This window comes from Homo sapiens, chromosome 3, assembly GCF_000001405.40.
Source record: "Homo sapiens chromosome 3, GRCh38.p14 Primary Assembly".
Taxonomy (NCBI): Eukaryota; Metazoa; Chordata; class Mammalia; order Primates; family Hominidae; genus Homo; species Homo sapiens.
Window position 1 is genome coordinate 129,862,730 of NC_000003.12, and position 27,106 is coordinate 129,889,835.

Below are 27,106 nucleotides of genomic sequence, written 5' to 3' on the forward strand. Positions count from 1 at the left end.
AACAATTTCCATTTTCTTACTTACATAAACTTTCCAAATAAATTTACTTTCTCACAACCCAAAAACTTTCAGAAATGTCTACGTGGAAAAATATACACATGCTGGTAAACAACAGTGTCACTTTATCAATGTAAATCTAGTCCCTCTGCACCTTGGATTAGGATTTTATTAGGAAAGCATTTTAACACAATTTTGCCATATCCATTTCTAAAAGTCTAAAGACCTTATTTTCTATAGCTAAGATGTTATTATCATAGAATTTAAGATTCAATTCAGGTGAAACCTAAAAGATGTCAAGATTCGTTTTCATTGTCTTCTCCATATGAATAATAAAGCACTCAAAGTGTTCAAAAAGAAGATACTGACTGGAAAGGGACATAGGGAATTACTAGGGGGATAAAAATGTCCTATACCTTTACTTTATTCTTGGTTATACTGTACCCATACACTGTTGTATGCATACGTAAAAATTCATTAAGCTATATATACATCTTTGATCTGTGGATCAAAAGATCTGGAAATTATACCTCAATTTTAAATAATGAATTTTTTAAGTGTTCCAACAAATTACCTTATTATCCCAAAGCATGTGATGTAAGAATAAGATTTTGTTTTCTTTTAATAAAAGGAATCAGGCATGGAGAAGTAAAGCAGTTTGCCTTGGTACCTCAAAAATCAAGAAGAAAAACAAGTCTCCCAACTCTGTTCTATAATCTAAACTTCATGCCTCACAGAGATTGAATCCTGAGATTCTACTGAGAAGGTGAAAAGAAAAAGGGGAAAAGGGCAGAATAAAAGAATAAGGGGAAAAAGAACAGAACCAATCCTCACTCAATAAGTCACCCAGAGAGGCCAGGCGCAGTGGCTCACGCCTGTAATCCCAGCACTTTGGGAGGCCGAGGCAGACGGATCACCTGAGGTCAGGAGTTCAAGACCAGCCTAACCAACATGGTGAAACCCCGTCTCTACTAAAAATACAAAAATTAGCCAGGCGTGGTGGCGCGCACCTGTAATCTCAGCTACTCAGGAGGCTGAGGCAGGAGAATCGCTTGAACCCGGGAGGTGGAGGTTGCAGTGAGCCAAGATCGTGCCACTGTACTCCACCCTGGGTGACAGAGCGAGACTCTTATCTCAAGAAAAAAAAAGAATAAGGCTAAAAAAAAAGTAAGAACCAAATCAACATCCTCTCCATCCCCATCCCCAACACACCCCCAAATGCCATGTCCTTGTTCTCAAAAGAAAAAATTATTTTATCTAGAACTAGTTGTGAAATAATGCAAAGAATGCAAAAGAAGTTATCGGGTTCATGCTCTCTCTAAAAACCATCACAGTGCTACCACCTCTTGCATCCTTGTGCAGTTCTGTAAAAGAGTTCTAAGGCACTATACTTTTTACTATATTTTCCCTTTTTTTCACATGTCCACATATCTGTAGAGAGAAGGTTGGGAGCCCACATAGGCCTCAACAGATTGATACGAAGTATGGCTCTTATTTCAGTCATAAAATTTTAAAGTTGGACTAGGTCTGAGCAGTCAATAATCCTAAGAGACTTGCCTAAGATCTCACAGCTTAGCAAGTGGCAGAGTCAAATCAAAGTTGAATCTAGCCTTCTATTCACCACACCACATTTATACCTATGCCCAATTAGAAACTAGACAGTAACTTATCCAAAGTGATAACTGCACTCAGGAAAAAAATAGTTTATATTATCCAAATTCTCATACCCATCTGTTCCACAGCATCAGTCTTTTAATAAATTTATAAGAATTATAACTACTGGCTGGGCACGGTGGCTCATACCTATAATCCCAGCACTCTGGGAGGCTGAGGCAGCCAGATCACTTGAACCCAGGTTCGAGACTAGCCTGGGCCACAGGGCAAGACCCCATCTCTAGTGAAAATACAAAAAATCAGCCTGTAGGAGAATCATCTAAGCCCAGGAAATCAAGGCTGCAAAGAGCTGAGATCACACCCTGCATTCTAGCCTGGGTGATGGGAGTCAGATGCTGTCTCACAAAACAAACAAAAAAGAATTTTAACTGTCAATTAGGTTATGGTCAGTACCTTCTTTTTTTTCCTGTAGTAAAATCCCCTTGGTAAACTGATTTAATGCCAAAAGGTTATTTGGTAAATAAAAACTGAAGGCAAACAGAGGTGAATGGTTTTAAAGAATATGTTTGGCAACCAAAAACATTAATACAGTCATTTATCCATTTGGCAAACTTTGAAATGCCTACTAGGCGTCCAGGCACTACATTGGACCCAACAAACACAAAAGATACAGGAGACTTTGTTCTAGGTAGGGAAACACCACAAAGTGGTAAGAGCCATGATGGGAAACCTGGGGTGCTGAGGAAGCCCAGAGGAACAGCATCTATCTTAATCTGGAGGGTCAAGAAGTCAGACTAGCCTCTTACACTCCCAAACAGTAAGATTTGCTCCAGAAAGCTCAGGCTTCTCATTCATTTTTTTTTCCCTGTAGTGGTGCAAGGCGCAATCCGGGCTCACTGCAACCTCCACCTCCCAGGCTCAAGAGATCTTCCCACCTCAGCTCCCACTGGAAGTACAGGTACATGACACCACATCATTTTTTTTTTTTTTTATAGAGACGGGGTTTTGCCATGTTGCCCAGGCTTGTTTCAAACTCGTGGGCTCAAGTGACCCACCTGCCTCAGACTCCCAAAGTGCTGGGATTACAGGCGTGAGCCACCACTCCTGGCATCCTTGCACTTCTTAAAATAAGGATGTATTATGTTTATAACCAGAAAAAATATGGATGGCTATCAAAATAGCCCAAAGAGGATAGGGAGAAAATGATGAAAGCTTGAACTATAAGGTCTGTAAGAGCAGAAAATTGATCTTATTTTCCACTATATCCTTAATTCCTTGCATAATGTCTGGCACATAATAGATGCTTAATAAATGTCAGAATAAACGAGTGAATGAGTGAATAAATGAACACTCTTAAGGTTCAACAGGGAAGACATGTTTCAGAAGTAAAAAAGAAAGAAATTAAAGAAAACCCCAAGTTTTGTAGACTGGTTGGCTAAATGAATGATGGGCCATTAATCAAGATAAGTAAAACTAGAGGAGGTATAGGTTTATGGGAATGCAAAAAAATATCACTGCAAAATGCCAATGACTTTGGTAGAAGACACACTAGGTTTCAGGAACCAGCGGGATCTCAAAATGCAGATGTCCAGCAGGCAGTAGGGAAGTGCAAGCTGAATGTGCAGATTTGAGTGTCATCTACATGAAGCTTGTATCAGAGATCACAGCTATCATATACCATAGTTTATGGACTCTCACTGCTCTTAATCAACAACAGAATAAGATATGCAGATCAAAATGGAATACACCCACTATTCTGGATGCCCTGACACCCAATCTGACCTTTATCCTACTGATTTCTAAACTTACGATTATGAAATAAATACACATTATGCTTTAGAGACTTCATCTCTCATTTGTTTCCTAATGGTGTACAAAGACCCACAGCTATATACATACATACATATATATAATATATATTATACATATATAATATATATACATATATACATAATATATAATATATACATATATTATATATACATATATACATAATATATATTATATATACATAATATATATTTTATATATATATATGTTTTTTTTTTTTTTTTGAGACAGAGTTTCGCTCTTGTTGCCCAGGCTGGAGTGCAATGGCTCGATCTCAGCTCACCGCAACCTCTGCCTCCCGGGTTCAAGCAATTCTCCTGCCTCAGCCTCCCGAGTAGCTGGGATTACAGGCATGCGCCACCACGCCCGGCTAATTTTTTATTTTTAGTAGAGACAGCGTTTTTCCATGTTGGTCAGGCTGGTCTCGAACTCCCAACCTCAGGTGATCCACCCACCTTGGCCTCCCAAAGTGCTGGGATTACAGGTGTGAGCCACCACTTCTGACCATATTTTATATTTTCACTATTTGCTACAGACAGAAATCTTGGCTCATAGATCCAGGACAGATAAGAAATTCAATACATTTGGCATTATTTACCATAAAGATACAAAATGTATATACTGGTTTTATTCACTAAAAACAGGCAAATTATCACAAAATAATGGTTTGTCACATGCTACAGATTTTTTAAAGTTCCTGTTTGAAACTTGAAATACTTTTGAAAAACAAATGAAATACTTTTGAAAAACAAATACTAAAGAAAAACAAATTCTTTATCAACAATATTTTTATAAATGTTTATTCTCACTATAGGACAGGAAAAGTTATTTTTTGATACCTGTTTCACCTAACTCCAAGATTACGACATCATGATCCTTCCAACTGTCCTCACCTACACGAGTCTCATCCTTGTCCAATTCATCCTACCTATGAGTTAAAAAAAAAAAAACACTTCTTCATTTCCTTTGTTTCAATTCTACCTCTCAAAGTCCACTCTTCATATCTTAAAATGACCTTACTCAAAACTAAGCTTGTCTCCAAAAGGTCAGCAAATGGGTAGGGCGGGCTAGTCTCACAAACACAGAAACACAAATGTACGATTCAAGTATCTCCATGCTTTCATCCATGTTATTTTTCATACTTGCAATGATAGCCTTCTTCTTCAACATTACAAATAGAGAACACAGATCAAATCCTCCTGTAATCGCTTCAACAGTCACCTATTCTCTTCCTTCTTTATATTTCCATAATACAAACCATATGGCCTTCAATAGCTAGTTTTCCTGTTTTCCTCTTTCCACACTGGCTTCTTGAAGTGCCATATCAAATCTAAATTCCTTAACAATACCATTAGTATTCAATAAATGCTAATTCAGTGATAGGTTTAAATCTGTCTCTAAATTAAAAAATTATCTAGTCCTAACCTGGTGTGGGTAGAAAATCTAATGTAACTCTACCAGAGTAAAGAAAGAACATATAGCCAAGCAAATAACTGAAGCCACAGAAGGTGGCTTATTTCACAACACTTCCCAGTTCATCCTATCTGGTGACTGCATTGGCTTATTTTCAAGAAACTGACTTTAAGGCCATAGTAGAAATAAGTTTTTAAAAAATAAGACCAGAATAAACTGAGTCACTGAGTCAGAGCTACAAGACAAGTGATTCTAAAGATGACGACAGATGAAGACTCTAGGTCACACAGATAGTTTGTGGCATACAAACGCTAGAACAGAGGCTTCTAACTTCTAGAAGAGTAACATATTTATTGTGTGCCTAATACGTGCCAAGAACTCTGCTAGGCACTACGTTAGACTAGTACCCATTCTTGTACATCAAGATACTTCCCATAGATGTTCTAAAACATTTAAAATATTAATTTAAGGCTCACATTCTAAGGAAATCCCTGTGTTACAAGAAGACAACGCCCACATCTCTAACAAATACATTAAAACAGGCAGGCAGAGGGGGGAAAAACCATACAAGCAGGAAAGAATTTGGAATTCCAAACAATTTACTCTTCCTTTTCTGGCTATGAAAATTCGCATACTATTGTTTACCAATAAAGAGATTAAGACCACCAAAAGGCATTTCTACCCAAATTTCATGACCCAACAGTTTGGAAAAAATGAACATTATTCCTGGCAGAAAAAAATTATCTGTTTTTGTCACATCACATGCAGAGCCATCTGAGAATAAATGTCTAAGCAAAAAAAGAAACAATACTGGAATTTGATAAAGACTCCTCAGGAATATGGCATTTAGCTGTTTCTTTTCTTTTCTTTTTTGAGATAGAGTCTTGCTCTGTTGCCCAGGCTTGAGTGCAGTGGCGCAATCTTGGCTCACTGCAACCTCCACCTCCTGGGTTCAAGTGATTCTCCTGCCTTAGTCTCCCAAGGAGCTGGGATCACAGGTGCACACCATCATGCCCAGCTAATTTTTGTATTTTTAGTAGTGACGGGGTTTCACCATGTTGGCCAGGCTGGTCCTCGGACTCCTGACCTCAAGTGATCCACCCACCTTGGCCTTCCAAAGTGCTAGGATTACAGGCGTGAGCCACTGCGCCCAGCCTAGCTGTTTCAATGGAACCTTTCATCAAAGGATCTCAAAACAAATGTTACTGACATTACCAATAATCAAATTGGTGACCCTATGGCTACAGAAAGAAATATATCAATGACCTAAGGAATTCAATACTGATATTCTGAAACCCAGCCCTCTGTTCTAAAAACAAAATCTAGTTTTATGTATAGTAGTGTGCTATAAGAAACATACATATTTGGTCTTTGTCCTTGATTCCTGGCAGAGCTCCTAAAACCCTTAGGTTTTCCTCAATAACAGAAGCGCTTTTTGTTATTCATAATGTATTCCTTTCAACCACACCTGAGTTTATACTAATTAGGTGACTCTTGGTGGGCCTCTAGATAGCTTCAGGATAGGGCTGGTTGCCAGGGGAACCAACCAAGCGATTAGAGTATTGGAACTTTTAGTCCTCCACTCCTCAACCTTTGGGGAAGAGAGAGGAACTGGGGACTGACTAAATGATGGGGTTTGGAAAGATTCCCAGGTAGTGAATACATGGAGGTGCTGGGAGGGTTTTGTGCCCAGAGAGGACATGAAAGCCTCACACCCCTCCCCCATAGCTTGCCCTATGTATTTATTTCATTTAGCTGTTCCTGAGTTGTACCCTTTATAATAAATTGATAAACATAAGTGTTTTCCTGAGTTCTATGAGTCTTTCCAGTGAATTAACGAACCTGAGGAAGGGGTCACGAGAACCCCTGAATTTGCAGCCAAGCCAGACAGAAGTGTGGGTGGCCCAAGACTTGTGACTAGCATCTCAAGCAGCAGCAGTCTTTTGGGACTGAGCCCTTTAACTTGAGATCTGACACTAACTCCAGGTAGACAGTGTCAGAATTGAATGGAATTGTTGAACACTCAGTGTCATAGAACTGAAGGTGAATTAGGTGTGGTATGGAAAAACCCCCATAGGTAGTAATTCTTGGGATATATTTGTAAAGCTTGATGATACAAATGTATTTGTTGATATAACCTCCCAACTTACCTTGATGCACATGTACAAATAGAAAACCCAAAAATGTAAGCAATGCTGTCAAGAACAGTTGCCACTAAAAATACCTGGCATTAATTTTATGCCATCTACATGCCAGGCATTAAGCTCAGCATAAATTATTTGCAGTGTACAAAACTCTGAGATGCAGATACTGTCCTCAACAGCAGAAGAGACAATTAAATCTCATAAATGTCCCACTATACACAGCAAGTAGCAGAGTTATGAACTAAAGCTAGTTTTAACACATAAATCCCTGCCAACTTCTACATTACAGCAACCTTTACTTTTTATCATGTAGTGTAAAATTATAAACTTTAACAATCCTTGAGGACAGCATCCTCAAAATATGTTCTTGAAAGACTAGTCTTGAAAAATTCTCTCAAATAATAAAAATAAAATATAAAGAAATCACATGTACCTATCTAGTATTCTACTTGTCTACACATTTTTTTAAGAACTGCCTTTTTCAGCATTATACTCTTGCTGACTGACAAACATTTCATTTTTTTCTCCTCCAGTTAATAAGAAACTAAAGTCATCAAGACACTACTTTCTCTTCAGTACCAATATCAGCAATGAGGAAAGAGGTCACTAGAAATCAGGAAATCTTACAACTTCTGAATATATTTGGATAGTTATATTTCCAAGTATTATCTTCAGTACCAAAATCCTAATTCTTCAATTGTTTTTCATTAGATATGGTGGCTAATGAGGCTGGACAGCGTGGAAGCTCACGCCTGTAATCCTAGCACTTTGGGAGGCCGAGGCGGGCAGATCATGAGGTCAGGAGATCGAGATCATCCTGGCTAACATGGTGAAACCCCATCTCCACTAAAAATACAAAAAATTAGCCAGGCGTGGTGGCTGGCGCCTGTAGTCCCAGCTACTCAGGAGGCTGAGGCAGGAGAATGGCATGAACCCAGGAGGCGGAGGTTGCAGTGAGCCCAGATCGTGCCACTGCACTCCGCGGGTTGGCGGGGGGGGGGGGGGGGGGGCGACAGAGCAAGACTCCATCTCAAAAAAAAAAAAAAAAAAAAAAAGATATGGTAGCTAAAGCTCTCACTATTCTGGTCTCATTCATCTAGAAAATTTAGATTATCCCTGTCCTTTTAAAATGTAACATCCAAGAATGGATACAACATAGATATAATCTGACAGTCCAAGAACAAAGGGACTATTACTTCTTTTAATCTAGCACTGTACCTCTGTAAGTGTTCACCAATGTTAGCTTTTTTTTTAACAGCCAAATCATACAACTTACCTTAGATTATGGGACTCATCAAATGAAAACAAAACTTTTGAGCCAGATAATTTCTGTTTAAGAGTAGGATCTTGCCTGGGCGCGGTGGCTCACACCTGTAATCCCAGCACTTTGGAAAGCTGAGACAGGTGGAGAGCCTGAGGTCAGGAGTTCGAGACCAGCCTTGCCAACATAGTAAAACCCCATCTCTACCAAAAATGCAAAAATTAGCCAGTTGTGGTGGCATGTGCCTGTAATCCCAGTTACTTGGGAGGGTGAGGCAGGAGAATTGCTTGAACCCAGGAAGTGGAGGTTGCAGTGAGCAGAGATCATGGCCACCGCACTCCAAACTGGGCCTAGGCAACAGAGTGAGACGCTGTCTCAAAAAAAAAAAAAAAAAAAAAAGAATAGGATCTTACATTTCTATTACACCCACCTTGACACTTTCATACCTCATACGTACTTAAATCATCTTGATTTTCTTTGATGCAACATATTAGATAAACCTCCCAGTTTTAGTATCATTTATAAATTTTTTGGTAAGCATACTTATACCATTATTCGAGATCTCAATCCACACAACTTAGCAACAGAATTTACAATCCCGTGTAACCACAACTAAGCTCTACATCAAAATAAGCAAACCAAGTCAAATGACTAACAAACTGGGAAAATAAATTTGCAACACATAAGCTAATTCCATTACATAAACGGCTCCTACAAATTCATAAGAAAAAAAACTGTTAGGATGTTGTTAAACAGGAATTAAAATTTGAAAAAAGAAAAAATGTGTAATCAATGAAAAAAGAATCAAAGTCTAACATGGACAGCCAGCTCACAAAAAAAGATACATGATTTTCATATAGATGAAAAGTTCTTCAACCTCATGCATGAGAGCAATGCAAATGAATCTACGAAGTGATACCATTTTTTTTACCTATCAGATTGGCAAAGACCAAAATGTTTGATAACACATCTAAGTTGTAAAGATAATGGAGAAACAAGCACTCTCATAGACTGCTGATTGTAAAATAATTCCAACTAAGGTCTTTAGAGAAAATTTTGAAAATATCTGTTAAAAATTTAATTATATCTACCTTTTCTTCAGAGCACCAGTATTCACGCAGCATTATTTGTAACAGCAAAAGTGCTAGCCACAGTTGTTATTCCAACAGCCATTTCTCCCTTCTTCCTCATTAACCAGAATTCACATTTTGTTCAAGATAGTAATGACTGGTTTCAGGCAATATGGCTATCATATTCTCTTTCCTAGACACACTTGGAGTGAGGGGCAGCACTATAAATCCCAGTGAAATGTAATGAGACATTACACAGGAAGTGCACTCAAAAGCATGGTCTGCTGACCCCACAGCATCAGCATTACATGGGAGCTTAATAGATATACAAATTCTCAGGCCCTACTCCAAACCTATGCATTTCAGAATCTCTGGAAGTATATCCCACAAATATGCAATATGAATTGTATTTTAACAAGCTCCCCATGTAATTCTATGCACACTAAAGTTCACGAAGCACTGTTTAGGAGACTTCTGGGAATTTCTTTCCTTCCCATGTAAAATGACAGCATCTTCCCAGTAAAAAAATGTTTTGCCCTCCATATCCTGTTTTTGAATGCAGTTGGTTGTGCTGGTTGGAGATGAGGCGCCATGATGCAACCAAAAGGTGACACAGGGAGGCTGAAAAGCCAACATAATGAGGAAAATAAAGGTGAGGGGAAAAATGTGGGTCCTAAATATTGCTGAGCTACCAAACTAGTGCTGAATTACCTATCTCGTTGCTTCTGTTTATATAAGACAATAAAATATTTTTACAGCTTAAGTCACTATTAGATTTCCTGGGGTTTTTTAAATTATTACTTCCATTATTTACAATTGAATGTATCCTAATGATATATATTTTGTCTACGCATGGAATTTTTTTTTTTTTTTTTGAGATCCGGAGTCTTGCTCTGTTGCCCAGGCAGGAGTGCAGTGGCACAATCTCGGCTCACTGCAACCTCCACTTCCCGGGTTCAAGCCTCCCGAGCAGCTGGGATTACAGGCACCCCCCACCACGCTTGGCTAGTTTTTGTATTTTTAGTAGAGATGGGGTTTTGCCATGTTGGCCAGGCTGGTCTCAAACTCCTGATCTCAGGTGATCCATCCACCTCAGTCTCCCAAAGTGCTGGGATAACAGGCATGAGCCACCGCGCCCAGCCTATCCTTGGAAATTAATGGAGCTTTAATTCTAGTGGAAATGACACAGATTGGGGATAAGACTTGTTAGTGGTCTCAAGACTAACACTGGTTGTCTTAATGCAGTGTGGACATACGAAAAACCCAAAAGAAAAAAAATCACAGGAAATACATAACATGAAACACTATGCAGCTGAAAAAAAAAAAAAACGGACACAAGTTGGCCAGGTGTGGTGACTCACACTCATAATCCCAGCACTTTGGGAGGTGGAAATGGGAGGATTGCTTAAGGCCAGGAGTCTGAGATCAACCTGGGCAACATAGCAAGACCCTGTCTCGAAAAATTTTTTAAACTACCCAGGCGTGGTGGTGCACGCCTCTAGTCCCAGCTAGTCGGGAGGATAAGGCAAGAGGATCCCTTGAGCCCAGGAGGTCAAGGCTGCAGTTAGCTACGATCACACGCACCACTACACACCAGCATAGGTGACAGAGTGCCACCATGTCTCTAAAAAATAAAAATAATAAGTTTAAAAATACTGTTTTTTAATGACATGGGCTATAAGTAGCATACGGTTAATCCCTGGTCCAAAATGCTTGGAACCAGAAGTGTTTTAGATTTCAGATTTTTTCACATTTTGAAATATTTGCATTATACCTACCAGGCAAGCATCCCAAATCCAAGCAGCATTTCTTTGAGTGTTATGTTGGTACCCAAAAGATTTCAGATTTTGGATTTTCAAATTTGGGATGCTCAAACTATATTGTATGAGGGAAAAAAGCAAGGTATAGAACTGTTTGAACAGTAGACCTCTATTTGAGTTTTTTAAAGGTAATATAAATATATATGTACATATATACACAAATATGTACATAAAATATCTGGAAGGAGACACAAAAAGAGGTAAAAATGGTTGTTACTAAGGAGGAGAAGTAAGGACCAGGAATCAGGGATTAAAGTGAGACTTTCATTTCTATGGTTTCAACATCTGCATATTCCTATTCAAAATGAGTTTGAAATAAAAATGTTAAAAACTTCTTTTAGACTCATATTACACATAAGAGAATTCTCAAAGTGACTCAAAGCTGTTATTTCTACAAAGTACCTAAAAATTATTGTTTGCCTACCAGCACCTGGCATAATGCCTTGCCTATAATAGATTCTCAAATGTCTTCTGACTCAATTTACTATGGAATCAATTCCACAAGCTGCCACTTACGGCATCTAAGAATCTAAAAAATAGCGGCTAGAACTGAGCGCAGTGGTTCACACCTGTAATCCCAGCACTTTGAGAGGCTGAGGTGGGAGGACTGCTTAAGCCCAGGAGTTCAAGATCAGCGTTGTCAACATAGCAACACCCTATCTCTGCAAAAAACAAATTAAATAAATAAAACATACAGGGCAGGTGCAGTGGCTCATGTCCATAATCCCAACACTTTGCAAGGCTGAGGTGGAATGACTGCTTGAGACTAGGAGTTCAAGACCAGCCTGGGCAACATAGCAAGACCCCATCTCTACAAAAAATACAAAAATTAGCTGGGTATGGTGGCGCACACCTGTAGTCCTAGCTACTTGGGAGGGTGAGGTGGGAGGATGGCTTGAGCCCAGCAGTTTGAAGTTGCAGTGAGCTATGATTGCACCACTGCACTCCAGCTGAGCAAGAGCAAGACCCTATCTCTAAAAAAATAAATAAAATAAAATGAAAAGTAGAAAATAAACTTCATATATTTGAACCTTTCTCTTCATAATCAAAGTCTGTCAGATAATTACTTAACTCTGTTTTCCTTATTCTCCACAATATTTGAGTACTGTCTTAAGTTGTCGGAAAGGAAAATCAGCTCATAACAACCTTCTCTGGGTTTTCCATATGCCCACACTGCATTAAGATGACCAATACCAGAAGCAGGCATGGTGGCACATCTGTAGTCGCAGCTACTCAGGATCTAAGGTAGGCGGATCACTTGAGCCCAGTAGTTCATCTAGCCTGAGCAATACAGCAAGATTCCATTGCTATTTAAAAAAAAAAAAAATGGCCAGGTGCGGTGGCTCACACCTGTAATCCCAGCACTGTGGGAGGCTGAGGCAGGTGATCACCTAAGGTCAGGAGTTCGAAACCAGCCTGGCCAACATGGCGAAACCCTGTCTCTACTAAAAATACGAAAAAGAATTAGCTGGGTGAGGTAGCCGGCGCCTGTAATCCCAGCTACTTGGCAGCTGAGGCAGGAGAATCGCTTGAACCCTGGAGGCAGAGGTTGCAGTCAGCCAAGATCGCACCACTGCACTTCAGCCTAGGGGACAGAGGAGGACTCCATCTCAAAAAAAAAAAAAAAAAAAAAAAAAACAACACAAACACACCCAAAAAAGATTACTCATACCAGTGTGAGACCACTAACAAGTCTTGGCCCCAATCTGTTATTTCATTTCCACTAAAACATAAACTCCATTAGGGTAGAAACTTTTATCCACTGTATCTCCAACACCTACAACAGGGCCAACAAATATGAAAGTAAGCAATACATATTTTTTTTAATAAACAAATGAAGAAAAAGAGGTCTTCCATAAAAGCCAAGAATAAGTTATGTCTAACCACACCCACCCACTTTGGTTATTTACATAAGCTCATCTGGCTGAGTATGCTACATAGACTGGATACTTTTACCAAAGAATAATAAAATAGGGCCGGTGCCGTGGCTCACGCCCGTAATCCCAGCACTTTGGGAGGCCAAGGCGGGCGGATCACCTGAGATTGGGAGTTTAAAACCAGCCTGACCAACACGGAGAAACCCCGTCTCTATTAAAAATACAAAAAACTAGCTGGGTGTGATGGCACATGCCTGTAATCCCAGCTACCTGGGAGGCTGAGGCAGGAGAATTGCTTGAACCTGGGAGACGGGGTTGCAGTGAGCCGAGATCACACCACTGCACTCCAGCCTGGGGAACAAGAGCAAGATTTCATCTCAAAAAAAAAAAAAAAAAGTTTAAAATATCATTGGTCCTTAAAGTTATACCTTCATTCTTTTGATAATTGCTATGTTGAACACAACCTGCTAACTGCTTTACAATGACTTAAGTAAGCACTAGTGATTTGAACCCAGGTTTAATGCCTGGCTCAAAAAAAAAAAAAAAAAAAAGAATAAATATAAGTGTGAAGAGGTTCTCACAAGCCCCACTGACAGAACAAAGACTATATTTAAAGTGCCTTTCAGCCCTATAACCTAAGAAAGAAGAGTAGCTGACAGCCAATTAGCTCCTAGCCAATCCTTACATTTTTTCTTTTTCATAATAATTGCTAAGGACAATTTTTAAAATCCTGAAGACATGAATCAAAAATAAAGGAGCCAGGTTCAGTGGCTCATGCCTATAATCTCAGCATTTTAGAAGGCTGAGGCAGGAGGATTGCTTGAAGCCAAGAGTTTGAGACCAGCCTGGGCAACATATGCAGACCTCATCTCTACAGAAAAATAAATAAATAAAATTAAAAAAAATAAACCCTGAAGGGCTGGGCGCGGTGGCTCACGCCTGTAATCCCAGCACTTTTGGAGGCTGAGGCGGGAGGATCACAAGGTCAAGAGATCGAGACCATCCTGGCTAACATGGTGAAACTCCGTCTCTACTAAAAATACAAAAAAAAATTAGCCAAGCATGGTGGCAGGCGCCTGTAGTCCCAGCTACTCGGGAGGCTGAGGCAGGAGAATGGTGTGAAACTGGGAGGCGGAGCTTGCAGTGAGCTGAGATCGTGCCACTGCACTCCAGCCTGGACAACAGAGCGAGACTCCATCTCAAAATAAATAAATAAATAAACCCTGAAGATCTCCTCAAAGTAAATTTTCCAATATTACTTTAAATGAATAATTAATAAAGACAGTTGTTAATAATATTACTTACATATCTTAAATCTTCTCCTGCCAAGAACATCTACCCAGAGTTACAGATTTTTATCTGAATACCCAGTCTCATCAGGGTTTAGGAAATGTTTTGCATTTGGAAAGACAACATCTCCAATCAGTCTTTAACCTCCAACCGCTCCACTAAAACTACCCTTTATCAAGGTTACCAATAACTGCCACATTGTTAAATCAAATAGTTAATTCTCAGCCCTCATCTCAATTGTAGTATTTGACACAGTTGATCACTCCCTATTCCTTGAAACACTTTCCTCATTAGACTCCAGGATACCCTCTAACCTAGTTCTCATCTTAACTCTCCAGCCACTGCTACTAAGTCTTCCTTGATGTTTCCTTCTCATCTTCCCCAACTCTAAACTCTGGAAATTAAGTTCTTCAACTGCTTCTTACTTCCATCTCTACTCACTTAATTGGAGATCTCATCCAGCTTTCTGGATTTAAATATAATCTATTTTAACAATACCCAGAGGTATATGTCCAGCAGATCCTTCTCTCCTGAATTCCAGATTCATAAACCCAACTGTTTACTCAACATCCCTAAGTCTTTTTTTTTTTTTTTTTTTTGAGACAGAGAGTCTCACTCTATGACCCAGGCTGGAGTGCAGTGGCGCAATCTTGGCTCATTGCAACCTCCACCTCCCAGGTTCAAGCAATTTTCCTGCCTCAGCCTCCCAAGTAGCTGGAAATACAGGAATGTGCCACCACGCACAACTAATTTTTTGTATTTTTAATAGACATGCGGTTTCACCATGTTAGCCAGGGTGATCTTGATCTCCTGATCTCCTGATCTCATGATCCACCCGCCTCGGCCTCCCAAAGTGCTGGGATTACAGGCGTGAGCCACCGTGACCAGCTTTTTTTTTAATGTTTTTATTTTTATTTTTATTTTTTTTTTGAGACAGAGTTTCGCTCTTTTAGCCCAGGCTGGAGTATAATGGCGCAATCTCGGCTCACTGCAACCTCTACCTCCCAAGTTCAAGTGATTCTCCTGCCTCAGCCTCCCAAGTAGCTGGGATTACGGGCGCCTACCACCATGCCTAGGTAATTTTTTACTTTTTTTTTTAGTAGAGATGGGGTTTCACGACATTCGCCAGGCTGGTCTTGAACTCCTGACCTCAGGTGATCTGCCCGCCTCGGCCTCCCAAAGCACTGGGATTACAGGCGTGAGCCACTGCGCCTGGCCAACATCTCTAAGTCTTAATAGGCATGTTTAATTTATGTCTAAAACTGAGCTTCTGTTACTTCTCCTGCAAACTTGTTTCTCTTTCTTTCAGTCTTCTCCATCTCAATAAATGACAACTGCATTCTTCCAGAAACTCAATACAAAAACCTTAACTCTTTCCTTTCTTTCACAGCACATATCCAATCTATCAGCAAAACCTGCTGACTCTACTTGAAAAATATATCCAGAATCAGATCATGTTACCACAGTCACTGCTACTCTCTAGCACAAACCACATTTTCTCTCACCTTGATTACAGTAATAGGCTCCAAACTAGTATTTCTGCTTTTGTCCTTGCCCAATCCACCACTATCTACTCAGCAGCCAAAGAAATGAAAATGTCAAAATATAAATCAGATCATGTCACCCTGCCCAAACGCTCCAAAGACTTCCTATTTTGCTCAGTGTAAATGCTGAAGTCCTACAAAGACCAGCAGCAGCAGCAGCACCTGGGAGCTTATTAGAATTAGGCCCTACCCCAGACCTATGAAATTAGAGTCTAAATTTTAATAGAAACCCCCAAGGTAATTCATGTGCACATTGAAGTTTGAAAAGCACTTCCATAAAGCACCACAAAATAAGGACCCACCCTCACCATTCCTCAGGCAAGCTTCTGTCTCAGGACATGTACACTGTGATTCACTATGCCTAGAATGCTCTTCTCATATATGTGTATGGCTCACTCCTTCACTTCTTTCAAGCCCTTACTCAAATGTCACCTTCTGTATGAAGCCATCTGTGAACACTCAACCCCTTCCCCTCAATACATTCTATTCCTGCTTTCCTTTTACTTTTCTCTTTAGAATTTGTCATCATAAATTTAAAAATGACATTTATGCATTATTTATTTATTTCAGGCCAGGGATGGTGGCTCATGCCTGTAATCCCTGGATTTTGGGAGGCCGAGGTGGAAGGATCACTTGAGCCCAAGAGTTCGAGACCAGCATGGGCAACATAGCGAGACCCTCATCTCTACAAAAAATAAAAATATTAGCTGATCACAGTGGCATATGCCTGCAGTCCCAGCTACCTGAGACACTGATGCAGGGGACTGTTTGTGCCCAGGAATGTGAGATTGCTGTGAGCTACGACTGCACCCTTGCACTCCAGCCTGGGCAACAGAACAAGACGTTGTCTTAAAAAAAAAGGTTTTCAGAAAGAAAAATTGAGTCTTTGAGTGAAAACAACAGATATACCTATAACTGTCTACAACGCAATAACAATCCTTTACATTGATAAAAATCTTTCATGCAAATTTTCTTATCTGATTCTCAATAACCCCATGAGCTGTGTAAAGCAAGTAATGATAAGCCCATTTTAAAGGTGAGAAAACAAACATACTTTAACTCTCAAAGCATGGAAGTAATAATGTCAAACCTGGGACTGAAGTCTCAATTTTTAGTTCAAAACTCTACAATATCACACCTCCTCTTGCCAATGAAACTGAACCAGACTATGAAATCATACAGCCATAATATTATGCTAACGTTACTAAGCTTTCCTAAACCATCCAGTGTCTATGCAGAATGAGAACAAATTCAGTTTACCCAAGTCACAATTTCAATTTGAGAAATAAGAATGCAAGCTACAGCTGGGCACAGTGGCTCACACCTGTAATCCCAGCACTTTGGGAAGCTGAGGTGGGGGATCACTTGAGCCCAGGAGTTTGAGACCAGCCTGGGCAATACAGCAAGACTCTGTCTCTATTATAAAAAATAAAGATTTAATTTAAAAGAAAAAAATTCAAGCTGCTCCCCGTTACTTGTAAGTCTAATCCCGTGTCTAATAACATTCAGGAAGAATGTAGGAAATGAGCTGTTTCATTATATACATTAAGAAAGTTCTTGTTGAGCTACAGGTGCTAGAAAAAAAGAGAAAATGGGAGAAAGGAAGATGGAACAAGTAAATGAATGAGAACTGAGTTATAGAGAGGAAAGTATAATTATTTTATACTGTTCTGAGTGCCTGGGTGATGTGATTTTGCAGTAGAAGAAAAAACGACATACCTCCTCAAAATCCCAGCAATAGCTTCCCTTTCTTTGCATAGGTGAGGATGAACAGTTGTAATCCAAAAGGTTTCCCAAAAAGTTATTTTTTAAAAAGACATAGAAACAGAAGATCCATATGAAAAAGAGATCCAATCTGGGAGGATGGACACTGTGTCTTCTAAATCTTGTGACCAAAGGCAACTGTTCACCGAGCGTCAGCATCTGAAGAAAGTGCTAACTGTGGATGTGTCTTCTCCAGAGATTAATACCTGCTGGGACAGAGAAGCAAGAAAAGGAGAAAGAACTACTGAATGCAAATGACTGTCTGACAAGCAATGACAGGCTGAGCATCCCAACTTTGAAAGGCCAAAACCCAAAATGCCCCAAAATCTGAAAACTTTTGAGTCCCAACATGATGCTCAAAAGACACACTCATTGGAGCATTTCAGAGTTCAGACTTTCCAACTAGGGATGCTCAACTGATAAGTATAATACAAATATTCCAAAATCTAAAAAAAATCTGAAATACTTCTGGTCTGAAGTATATCAGTTCTCAGGCTGCAAATTTTTTTTCTTTTTTTTTTTTTTTTGAGACAGAGTTTTGCTCTTGTTGCCCAGGCTGGAGTGCAATGGTGCAATCTTGGCTCACTGCAACCTCCACCTCCCAGGTTCAAGCGATTCTCCTGCCTCATCCTCCCAAGTAGCTGGCATAACAGGCGCTTACCACCATGCCAGGCTAATTTTTGTATTTTCAGTAGAGACTGGGTTTCACCATGTTGGCCAGGCTGGTCTTGATCTCCTGACCTCATGATCCCCCTGCCTCGGCCTCCCAAAGTGCTGGGATTACAGGTGTGAGCCACCTGCGCCCAGCCTAAAATTTTTTAAATTAACATTAGTGAACAAAAAGTGATCACATGGAGGTAATACCAGTGACCACGCCCAGCTGGCACTGAGTTATCAATGACAGCAATAAGCAAAAGTACACTTTTGCAGGTAATCCAGCTCTCTCTCTGATAATAGTAAAGAAAATATTAAAATCTATTTCAAGTTTTTTGTAGCAAAATCATGGTCATATCATGCAACGAATCATAGATAAATATTTGTCTGCAGTCTGCCAAACAGAGCAACCATTCTGGCAACTTATAAAACAAATATCATAGAACTACTAATGCAGATGTCCACTCTCAGCAGAAAATGTAGAATAATCATATAAAAAAAACATATGTAGGTTTTGGCAGAGAAACTAAAAGTTGACATGAAAACAAAGGGACATAAATGTTAATATGACATACAGGGTGGTTTGCATACCTTTTTAGCTAACATACAGAACAAGAAATCTGTTATATTTTCGCAACAAATTAAGGCAGTATTTATTGATACCTGCTACATCACTGCATTTCTATCAAACCACAAATTATAGAATATATAAAATGAAATACATTGGATGGAACTAGCAGCAGTCAAGACACAGCAGAAGGAAAGACGAGTGAATGTAAAGACACAGAAATAAAAACTATCCAAAATGAAACCCAAAATATAAGACCAAAGAAAAAGAGCAGAGCATCAGTAAGGTATGGGACAACTTCAAGAACCTAATAATATATATGTAACTGGAATCCGAGGAGCGATGTGTGACTATTTGGAGAAATAATAGCCAAAGATGTTCCAAATCTGATGAAAAGTATAAACCCACAAACTCCAAAAGCTTAACAACAAGAGCAAAAAACTCAAAAGAAAGCTTATACTCCACCAGGGCACAACAAAATCAAATTCCTTGAAACCAGACATAAAGAAAAATCTTAAAAGGAGCCAGAGGAATATGGAATGAGAGAAAATATTTACAGATCATCTATCATCCAGAATATACAGAGAACTCTTAAAACTCAAAACAAAAACAACCTGATAAAAATGGGCAAAGGATATTTCTACGAAGGAGATACATGAATGGCTGATAAACACATAAAAAGATGCTCAATATCACAAATAATTAGGGAAATGCAAATCAAAACTACAATCAGATACCACTCATACCCATTAGGGATAGCTATGATTAAAAAAAAAAAACAGAAAACAACAAGTGCTGGCAAGGATATGGAGAAAGTGGAACCCTTGTGCACTGCTGATAGGAATGTACGATGCTACAGCCACTGGGGAAAACAGTATGGAAGTCCTAAAAAAATGAAAATAGAATTACCATATGATCCAGCAATTCCACTTCTGGGTTTATAGCAAAAAAGATTTAAAGTGTGGTCTGTAAGAGATATCTGTACAGTCATGTTCACAGCAGCATTATTCATGATAGCCAAAAAGTGGAAGCAACTCAAGTGTCATATGTCCATGAACAGATGCATAGATAAGCAAAATGTGGTATATCATATACAATGGAATACTATGCAGTCTTAAAAAGAAAGAACATTCTGAAAAATACTACAACATGGATGAACCTTCAGGACATTATATTAAGTGACAGGAGACAGTCACAAAAAGACAAGTACTGTATGATTCCACTTATATGAGGTACCTAGGGTAGTCAAATTCAAAGACAGTAGAATAGTGGCTTCCAGAGGCCAGAGGAGGGGGTCTGGGGAGTTAGTGTTTAAAAGACTTTCAGTTTGCAAGATGAAAGGAGTAATGGAGATGGATGATAGTGATGGTTGCACAACATTATGAATGTATTTAACATTACTGAACACCACACTTAAAAATGGTTAAAATCAGCCAGGCGTGGTGGTTTATGCCTGTAATCCCAGCACTTTGGGAGGCCAAAGTGGGCAGATCACCTGAGGTCAGGAGTTCGAGACCAGCCTGGCCAACGTGGTGAAACCCTGCCTCTACTAAAAACACACACACACACACACACACACACACAAAATTAGCCAGGTATGGTGGCACATGCCTGTAATCCCAGCTACTTGGGAGGCTGAGGCAGGAGAATCGCTTGAACCCGGGAGGCGGAGGTTGCAGTGAGCTGAGATCGCACCACTGCACTCTACTCTGGGTGACAGAGCGAGACAATCAATCAATCAATAAGGTTAAAATGGGCCGGGTGTGTTGACTCATGCCTGTAATCCCAGCACTTTGGGAGACCAACATGGGAGGATTATTTGACCCCAGGAGTTTGAGATCAGTCCGGGCAACATGGTGAGGCCCCATTTCTACAAAAAACTGTAAAAATTTGCCAGGAATGGTGACAGGCACCTGTGGTCCCAGCTATTCAGGAGGCTGAAGTGGAAGGATCACTTGAACCTAGGAGGTCAAGGCTGCAGTAATTCATGTTTACACCACTGCACTCCACCCTGGGTGACAGAGCGAGACGCTGTCTCAAAAACACACAAACAAAAAATGGTTAAAATGGTAAATTTTTAATTATATGTATTTTACCACAATAAAAAAAATATATTTTTTGGGCTGGGAGCAGTGGCTCACACTTGTAATCCCAACACTTTGGGAAGCCAAGAGGGATCAATCACTTGAGGCCAGGAGTTCAAGACTAGCCTGACCAACTTGGTTTCACCAACATGGTGAAACAAGATGGTGAAACCTCGCGTCTATTTTATTTTATTTTAGAAATAAAAAAATTAAATTAAAAAAAGAAAAAATATATTTTTGAAAGAAAAATAAAAGCAGCCAGAAGGAAACAACCACACATTACATACAGAAAAATAAACCCAATGAAAGCAGATTTCTCATTGGATACAATGCAGGCCAGAAGATGGTGAAACAGCATCATAAAGAAACGTCAACAGTAATTACATATCCTGTGAAAACAGTTTCGAAAACTAAAAACAAATTAAAGTCTTCAGATGTCCAAATACTAAAAGGATTCATTGTCAGCAAATGTGCACTACAAGAAACATTAGAAATCCTTCAATCAGAAGGAAAATCATACCACACAGAAATCTAGAACTATACAAAAGAACAAAGAGCACCAAAAAAAGGTAAAATATATGAATAAACAAAATATACACGCATACTGGACAAAGACTTTTATAATAGTATGAGCAGAATCATTTACATTATTAAAATAAAGAAAAAAGCAATATCAAGAATTTTCAGGCTGGGCATGGTGGCTCACACCTGTAATCCCAGTACTTTGGGAGGCTGAGACGGGAGGATCACTTGAGCCCAGGAATTGGAGACCAGCCTGGGCAACATAGTGCAACCCCATTTCTACAAAATAAAATAAAAAAAGAATTTATACATATCTTCCAACATGCTTGTCTTCCACAAACTTCAAAGTACCCTGATTATTAGAATTAGAACTCAGTTCCCATCACACTTTCCTACAAATCACAGTCAATATTATTTCTTCTTTATAAAATGAAGCTCTAAAGTACAAGCTATTTGTCTGATAACAGAGTCTTTTGAAGAAATAAAATTAAAACTAAAACCTCCTTGTTTCCAGCTTAGTATTCTACTACATAAACAGTGGTTTTCAAAATCTTTGAAGGGCTTGCCTACAGAGAAATTCTTTGAGATAAAAAAAAATGGTGGTCAATATATAATTTATCGATTTTTTTCACTGTCTCAATGGAACTCGAAAGTCATTTACAAATGAGCTACAGCAGGCAGGGCGTAGTGGCTCATACCTGTAATCCTAGCATTTTGGGAGGCTGAGGCAGGCAGGTTGCTTGAGCGCAGGATTCAAAACCAGCCTGGGCAACATGGTGAAACCTCATCTCTACAAAAAATGCAAAAATTAGCCAGAGACGGTGGGACACACCTGCAGTCCCAGCTACTCGGGGAGCTGAGGCAGGAGGATTGCTTGAACCCGGGAGGTCCAGGCTGCAGTGAGCTTTGATTGCACCACTGCACTCCAGCCTGGGTGACAAAGTGAGACCCTGTTTCTACATAAATAAGTAAATAAATAAGCTACAGCAAAGAATGTTCCTTGTTTTCAAGAAATCTGAAAAACAACAATAGGTTTCAATGAATTGGTCAGGTTGTCCCAAACTGGCAAAAGAAGAAAACTTTTGCCAAGTCTTCCTGAGGAAAATGAATTTGTCAAAGCAAAGGTGTCAAAGCAATCACTGCAGAACAAAGCTTTGGGGTCAGGTGTTGAAGTAGAAAAAGGATCACCTGAGGTCAGGAGTTCAAGACCGGCCTGACCAACATGGTGAAACCGTCTCTACAAAAACACAAAAATTAGCCAGGCATGATGGCGGGTGCCTGTAATCCCAGCTACTCGGGAGGCTGAGGCAGGAGAATTGCTTGAACCCAGGAAGCAGAGGTTGCAGTGAGCTGAGATCGTGCCACTGCACTCCAGCTTGGGTGAGACAGAGAGACTTCATCTCAAAAAATAGAAAAAAGGAAAACAATATTTGATGCTATTCTATTATAGTTCAAACCTGAGGGAATGTGGTTAGAATAAAATCTCTGTAACATCACTGATGCCAAATAGATTACAGAATGGGAATCCTGCCTACTATCCCTCTGAATACATAATAGGTTTTTTTGTTTGTTTGTTTTTTGAGACAGAGTCTCACTCTGTCACCAGGTTGGAGTGCAGTGGCGCAATCTCGGCTCACTGCAACCTCCGCCTCCTGGGTTCAAGCAATTCTCCTGCCTCAGCCTCCCGAGTAGCTGGGATTACAGGCGCCCACGACCACGCCCAGCTAATTTTTGTATTTTTAGTAGAGACAGGGTTTCACCATGTTGGCCAGGATGGTCTCGATCTCTTGACCTCATGATCCACCCACCTCAGCCTCCCAAAGTGCTGGGATTACAGGCGTGAGCCACTGTGCCCGGCTTGAATACATAATGTTAAATGCAATTCATACACTCAGAGACTGCTTGAGACCACTAGCAGACCTCATAACCCAACTGCACAGTGAGAGACCACTTGCTGCTCTCAGATAGATAACTGAATGGTTCACATAACTCAGGATGTTCTTCTGACAGAATTCTAGAGGAAGGCTACCTACTGTTACCCTATCTGGACCAAAATTCTTTATTCTATAAAGACAACAAGAAAATTATGTGATTTCAGTATTCACTAAGGAATACCATATTCCAGGAGAAAGTAGCATTCTTTCAGCACTTTATCCAAAGTCAAGCCATTGGAAAACTTTCTACTTTATATGATAATAAACTTATCAAAAGAAATACAGTGGTTACATACTCAAGAGAACTGAAAATGTATGTTCAAACAAAAGCTTATACAAGAATATTCAAGGCAGCATTATTCATAATAGCAAAAAAGCGGCATTATTCAGAACAGCCTACTGATGAACAGGTACACAAAACGTGGTGTATCCATACAATGGAATATTACTATGCCATAAGAAAGGAATGAAGTACTGATACTTGCTACAACATGGATGAATAAAAACACTGTTAAGTGAAAGAAGCTAAAAACAAAAGGGCAAGCCGGGTGCAATGGCTCACACCTGTAATCCCAGCACTTTGGGAGGCTGAGGCGGACCAATCACTTGAGGTCAGGAGTTCAAGACCAGCCTGGCCAACATGGTGAAACCGTTTCTACAAAAAAAAAAAAAATTAGCCAGGTGTGGTGTGTGCACCTGTAATCCCAGCTACTCGGGAGGCTGAGGCAGGAGAATCCCTGGAACCCGGGAGGCGGAGGTTGCAGTGAGCCGAGATCACACCACTGCACTCCAGCCTGGGAGACAGAGTGAGACTCCGTCTCAAATAAAATAAAATAAACAAAAAAAACCCCAAAAGGCCAGGTATTATGATTCCATTTATGTGACATGTTTAGAATAGGCAAACCCATAGGACAAAAATCAGACTGTGGTTGCCAGGGAACAAAGAGAGGGACTGCTTAATAGGTATGGGGTTTCTTTTTGGGGTGATGAAAATGTTCTAGAGTTTGGCAGCGGTGGTGGCTGCACATGTTACACTGTGAATGAACTAAAAGCCACTTAACCGTAGATTTAAAATGGTTAACTACATATTTCAAATCATAAATTGTATTTTATAGGAATTTTACCTTAAGAAAAAAAAAAATACTGGGCTAGGTGCACTGGCTCATGCCTGTAATCCCAGCACTTTGGGAGGCCAAGGAGGGCGGATCATGAGGTCAAGAGATCGAGACCACCCTGGCCAACATGGGGGAATCCCGTCTCTATTAAAAATACAAAAATTAGCTGGGCATGGTGGCATGAGCCTGTAGTCCCAGCTACTCAGGAGGCTGAGGCAGAAGAATCACTTGAACCCGGGAGGTGGAGGCTGCAGTGAGCCAAGATCGCGCCACTGCACTCCAACCTGGCGACAGAGCAAGACTCCGTCTCTCAAAAAAAAAAAAAAAACAACAAAAAAGAACTTCTAAATGTTATTTATCTTGTACCTGTATCTCCTCCACTCCTTAACAAAATACTGTGAGCATTAAAAAAAAGACCACTCAAAAACACTTTTTAAAATATAATATATTGACATTCTAAAAAAGGCAAAACTATAGAGACAGTTAAAAGATCAGTGAGGTTGCCAGAGGCTGGTGTGAGGGAAGTAAATCAGTGAGAGACAAACTTTCTAGAGCTGTGGAACTAATCTGTATGATACTGTAATGTTAAACATAAAATACTAGAAGCTGTCAAAACCCATAGAAATTTATATCACAAAGAATAAACTTTAATGTGTGCAAATTCTTAAGTAATTAGGAGATAAAGGTAGCTCAGCAAAAAATGCAGAATGTGACAAAATCTAAATCTATCACAAATACACGAGACGACTTCAGGAAGTAAGTAGGGAAAGCTGCTGACCTAAAAAACATTAGAAATGAGTGCTGTCTATAAAACTAAAGGCAAAAAGAACTATCTGTAAGTCTCTAGTTGATAAACTAGTTTCCCACAGGTATACAGATTAACAGTTCTGAAACCACTATACGTGTATGCTGGAATGGAATAATTAATTCTGGCAGATGGTGGGAGGCAGGTTTTTCACTGATGAAGCAGGAGGTTACATATAAGCAAGGTAAGGTTAGAATGATACATGTGGTAATGAATTAGAGTTGGAGACATCACGAAGTCATGTTTAGCTTAATAAAGACACAGTTACATATAGAAACATATATAGATATGTGTATATACACAGGTTAATATGTACACATATATCTCCTTCCTCCGTCCCTTGAGAGGGCCTAGAAGATACAACACTTCAGTACCAACAAGCACACCTATCACCCAGATCTTGGTTTGTAACACCATTCTTCAATAAAAGGTACCAGGGCTCCTTGAGAAATGACTGATTACAGGACTGGAGCAGAAAATATACAAGATGAACCTTAAGAGCATCTTATGTTGCCAGAAAGGAAGAAAGTACACACACAATGATGGAGATATGTCAAAGAGAAAGGATACAGGAGCCAACTTAAAGAGCTCCCAATGGCCAAAGCTGAAATAATTTAGCAATGAAATTTAAGTAGATACACCACCCTTAAGGAGGTAGAACATAACTCATCACCACTAAGTGTGGGCTGTACATAGTGACAATTTTCCAGAGTACAGTAGGAAAGAGAGGAGGAAAGAGTAACTTTGCAGAAAACAAACTCTGCCTCAAGCCAGATGAGCAGGGTTAACATCAACACTGATAAGTCATACTGGTAGTATACATCCCTAATATGTGATGAGAATGACACTTTAGCCCTGTGGTCTTCCTTCCAAAAGCATATTACATTCTTGGCCTAACCACAATGAAAACATCAGATAAATCCCAAAGAACGTTCTATAAAAATACCTGACCACGGCTGGACACAGTGACTCACGCCTGTAATCCCAGCACTTTAGGAAGCTGAGGAGGGTGGATTGCTTGGTTCTAGGAGTTCGAGACCAGCCTGGGCACCATGGTGAAACCCCATCTCTACAAAAAGTACAAAAATTAGCAGAGCATGATGGCACACATCTCTGGGCCCAGCTACTCCGGACATTGAGGTCAGAGGATCACTTGACCCCAGAGTGTTGAGGCTGCAGTGAGATGAGATCGTTCCACTGCACTCCAGTCTTGGTGACAGAGGGAGATCCTGTCTCAAAAAAACAAACAAACAAAACCTGACCAGTAATGTTCAAAACTGCCAAGGTCACTAAATACAGGGAAAGTCTGAGAAATTGTCACAACCAAGAGGAGCTAAGGAGACATAATTACTAAATGTAATGTGGTATTGTGGATGGGATCCTGGGATAGTGAAAGAACATTAAGGAAAAAACCTGTGGAAACCTGATAAAGTATGGTCTCTGTGATAATGTATCAATACTGGTTTATTAATACAGACAAATGATCACAGGGATGTAAGACGTTAATAATATGGGAAACAGTGTAGGATAGGCAGGAACTCTGCAGTATCTTTGCAATGTTTCTGTAAATCTAAATTTTAAAGTCTATTTTTAAAAATTATAACAAATTTATGATCAACGGCATCCCTGGAATTTTACTCAGTGCATCTAGGACACAAAAGATACTTAAAATATGGTCTTTGCCTTCAAGAAGCTTGTTGTCGCAGAGTGAAGACAAATGCTCATGAAACTAGTATAAAATACAAAAATAAGAAAAAATTAAATTGAAGAGTAAAGATAAAACTATATTAAGAATATAAA

The 27,106-nt window shown here is 39.7% G+C and overlaps 1 protein-coding gene across 12 annotated transcripts in view; it reads right to left on the reverse strand.

Annotated features, from left to right (window-relative positions):
• Nucleotides 1-27,106, reverse strand: part of TMCC1 (transmembrane and coiled-coil domain family 1) — a 245,920-nt gene that overhangs the window by 214,938 nt on the left and 3,876 nt on the right. For 7 of the 12 annotated variants that reach the window (NM_001349270.2, NM_001349265.2, NM_001017395.5 and 4 more), the window contains exon 2: nucleotides 17,580-17,830. The exons of 2 other annotated variants lie outside the window; for them this stretch is intronic. Coding sequence is in view for 1 of the 10 variants with exons in the window: in NM_001349271.2 (NP_001336200.1) it covers nucleotides 17,580-17,783 (204 nt within the window). In the remaining 9 variants the exon portion in view is untranslated. Of the gene's footprint in view, nucleotides 1-17,579; nucleotides 17,834-27,106 lie in introns of all 12 variants that reach the window. 3 more of the 12 variants (NM_001349271.2, NM_001349275.2, NM_001349264.2) reach the window with 1 other exon arrangement.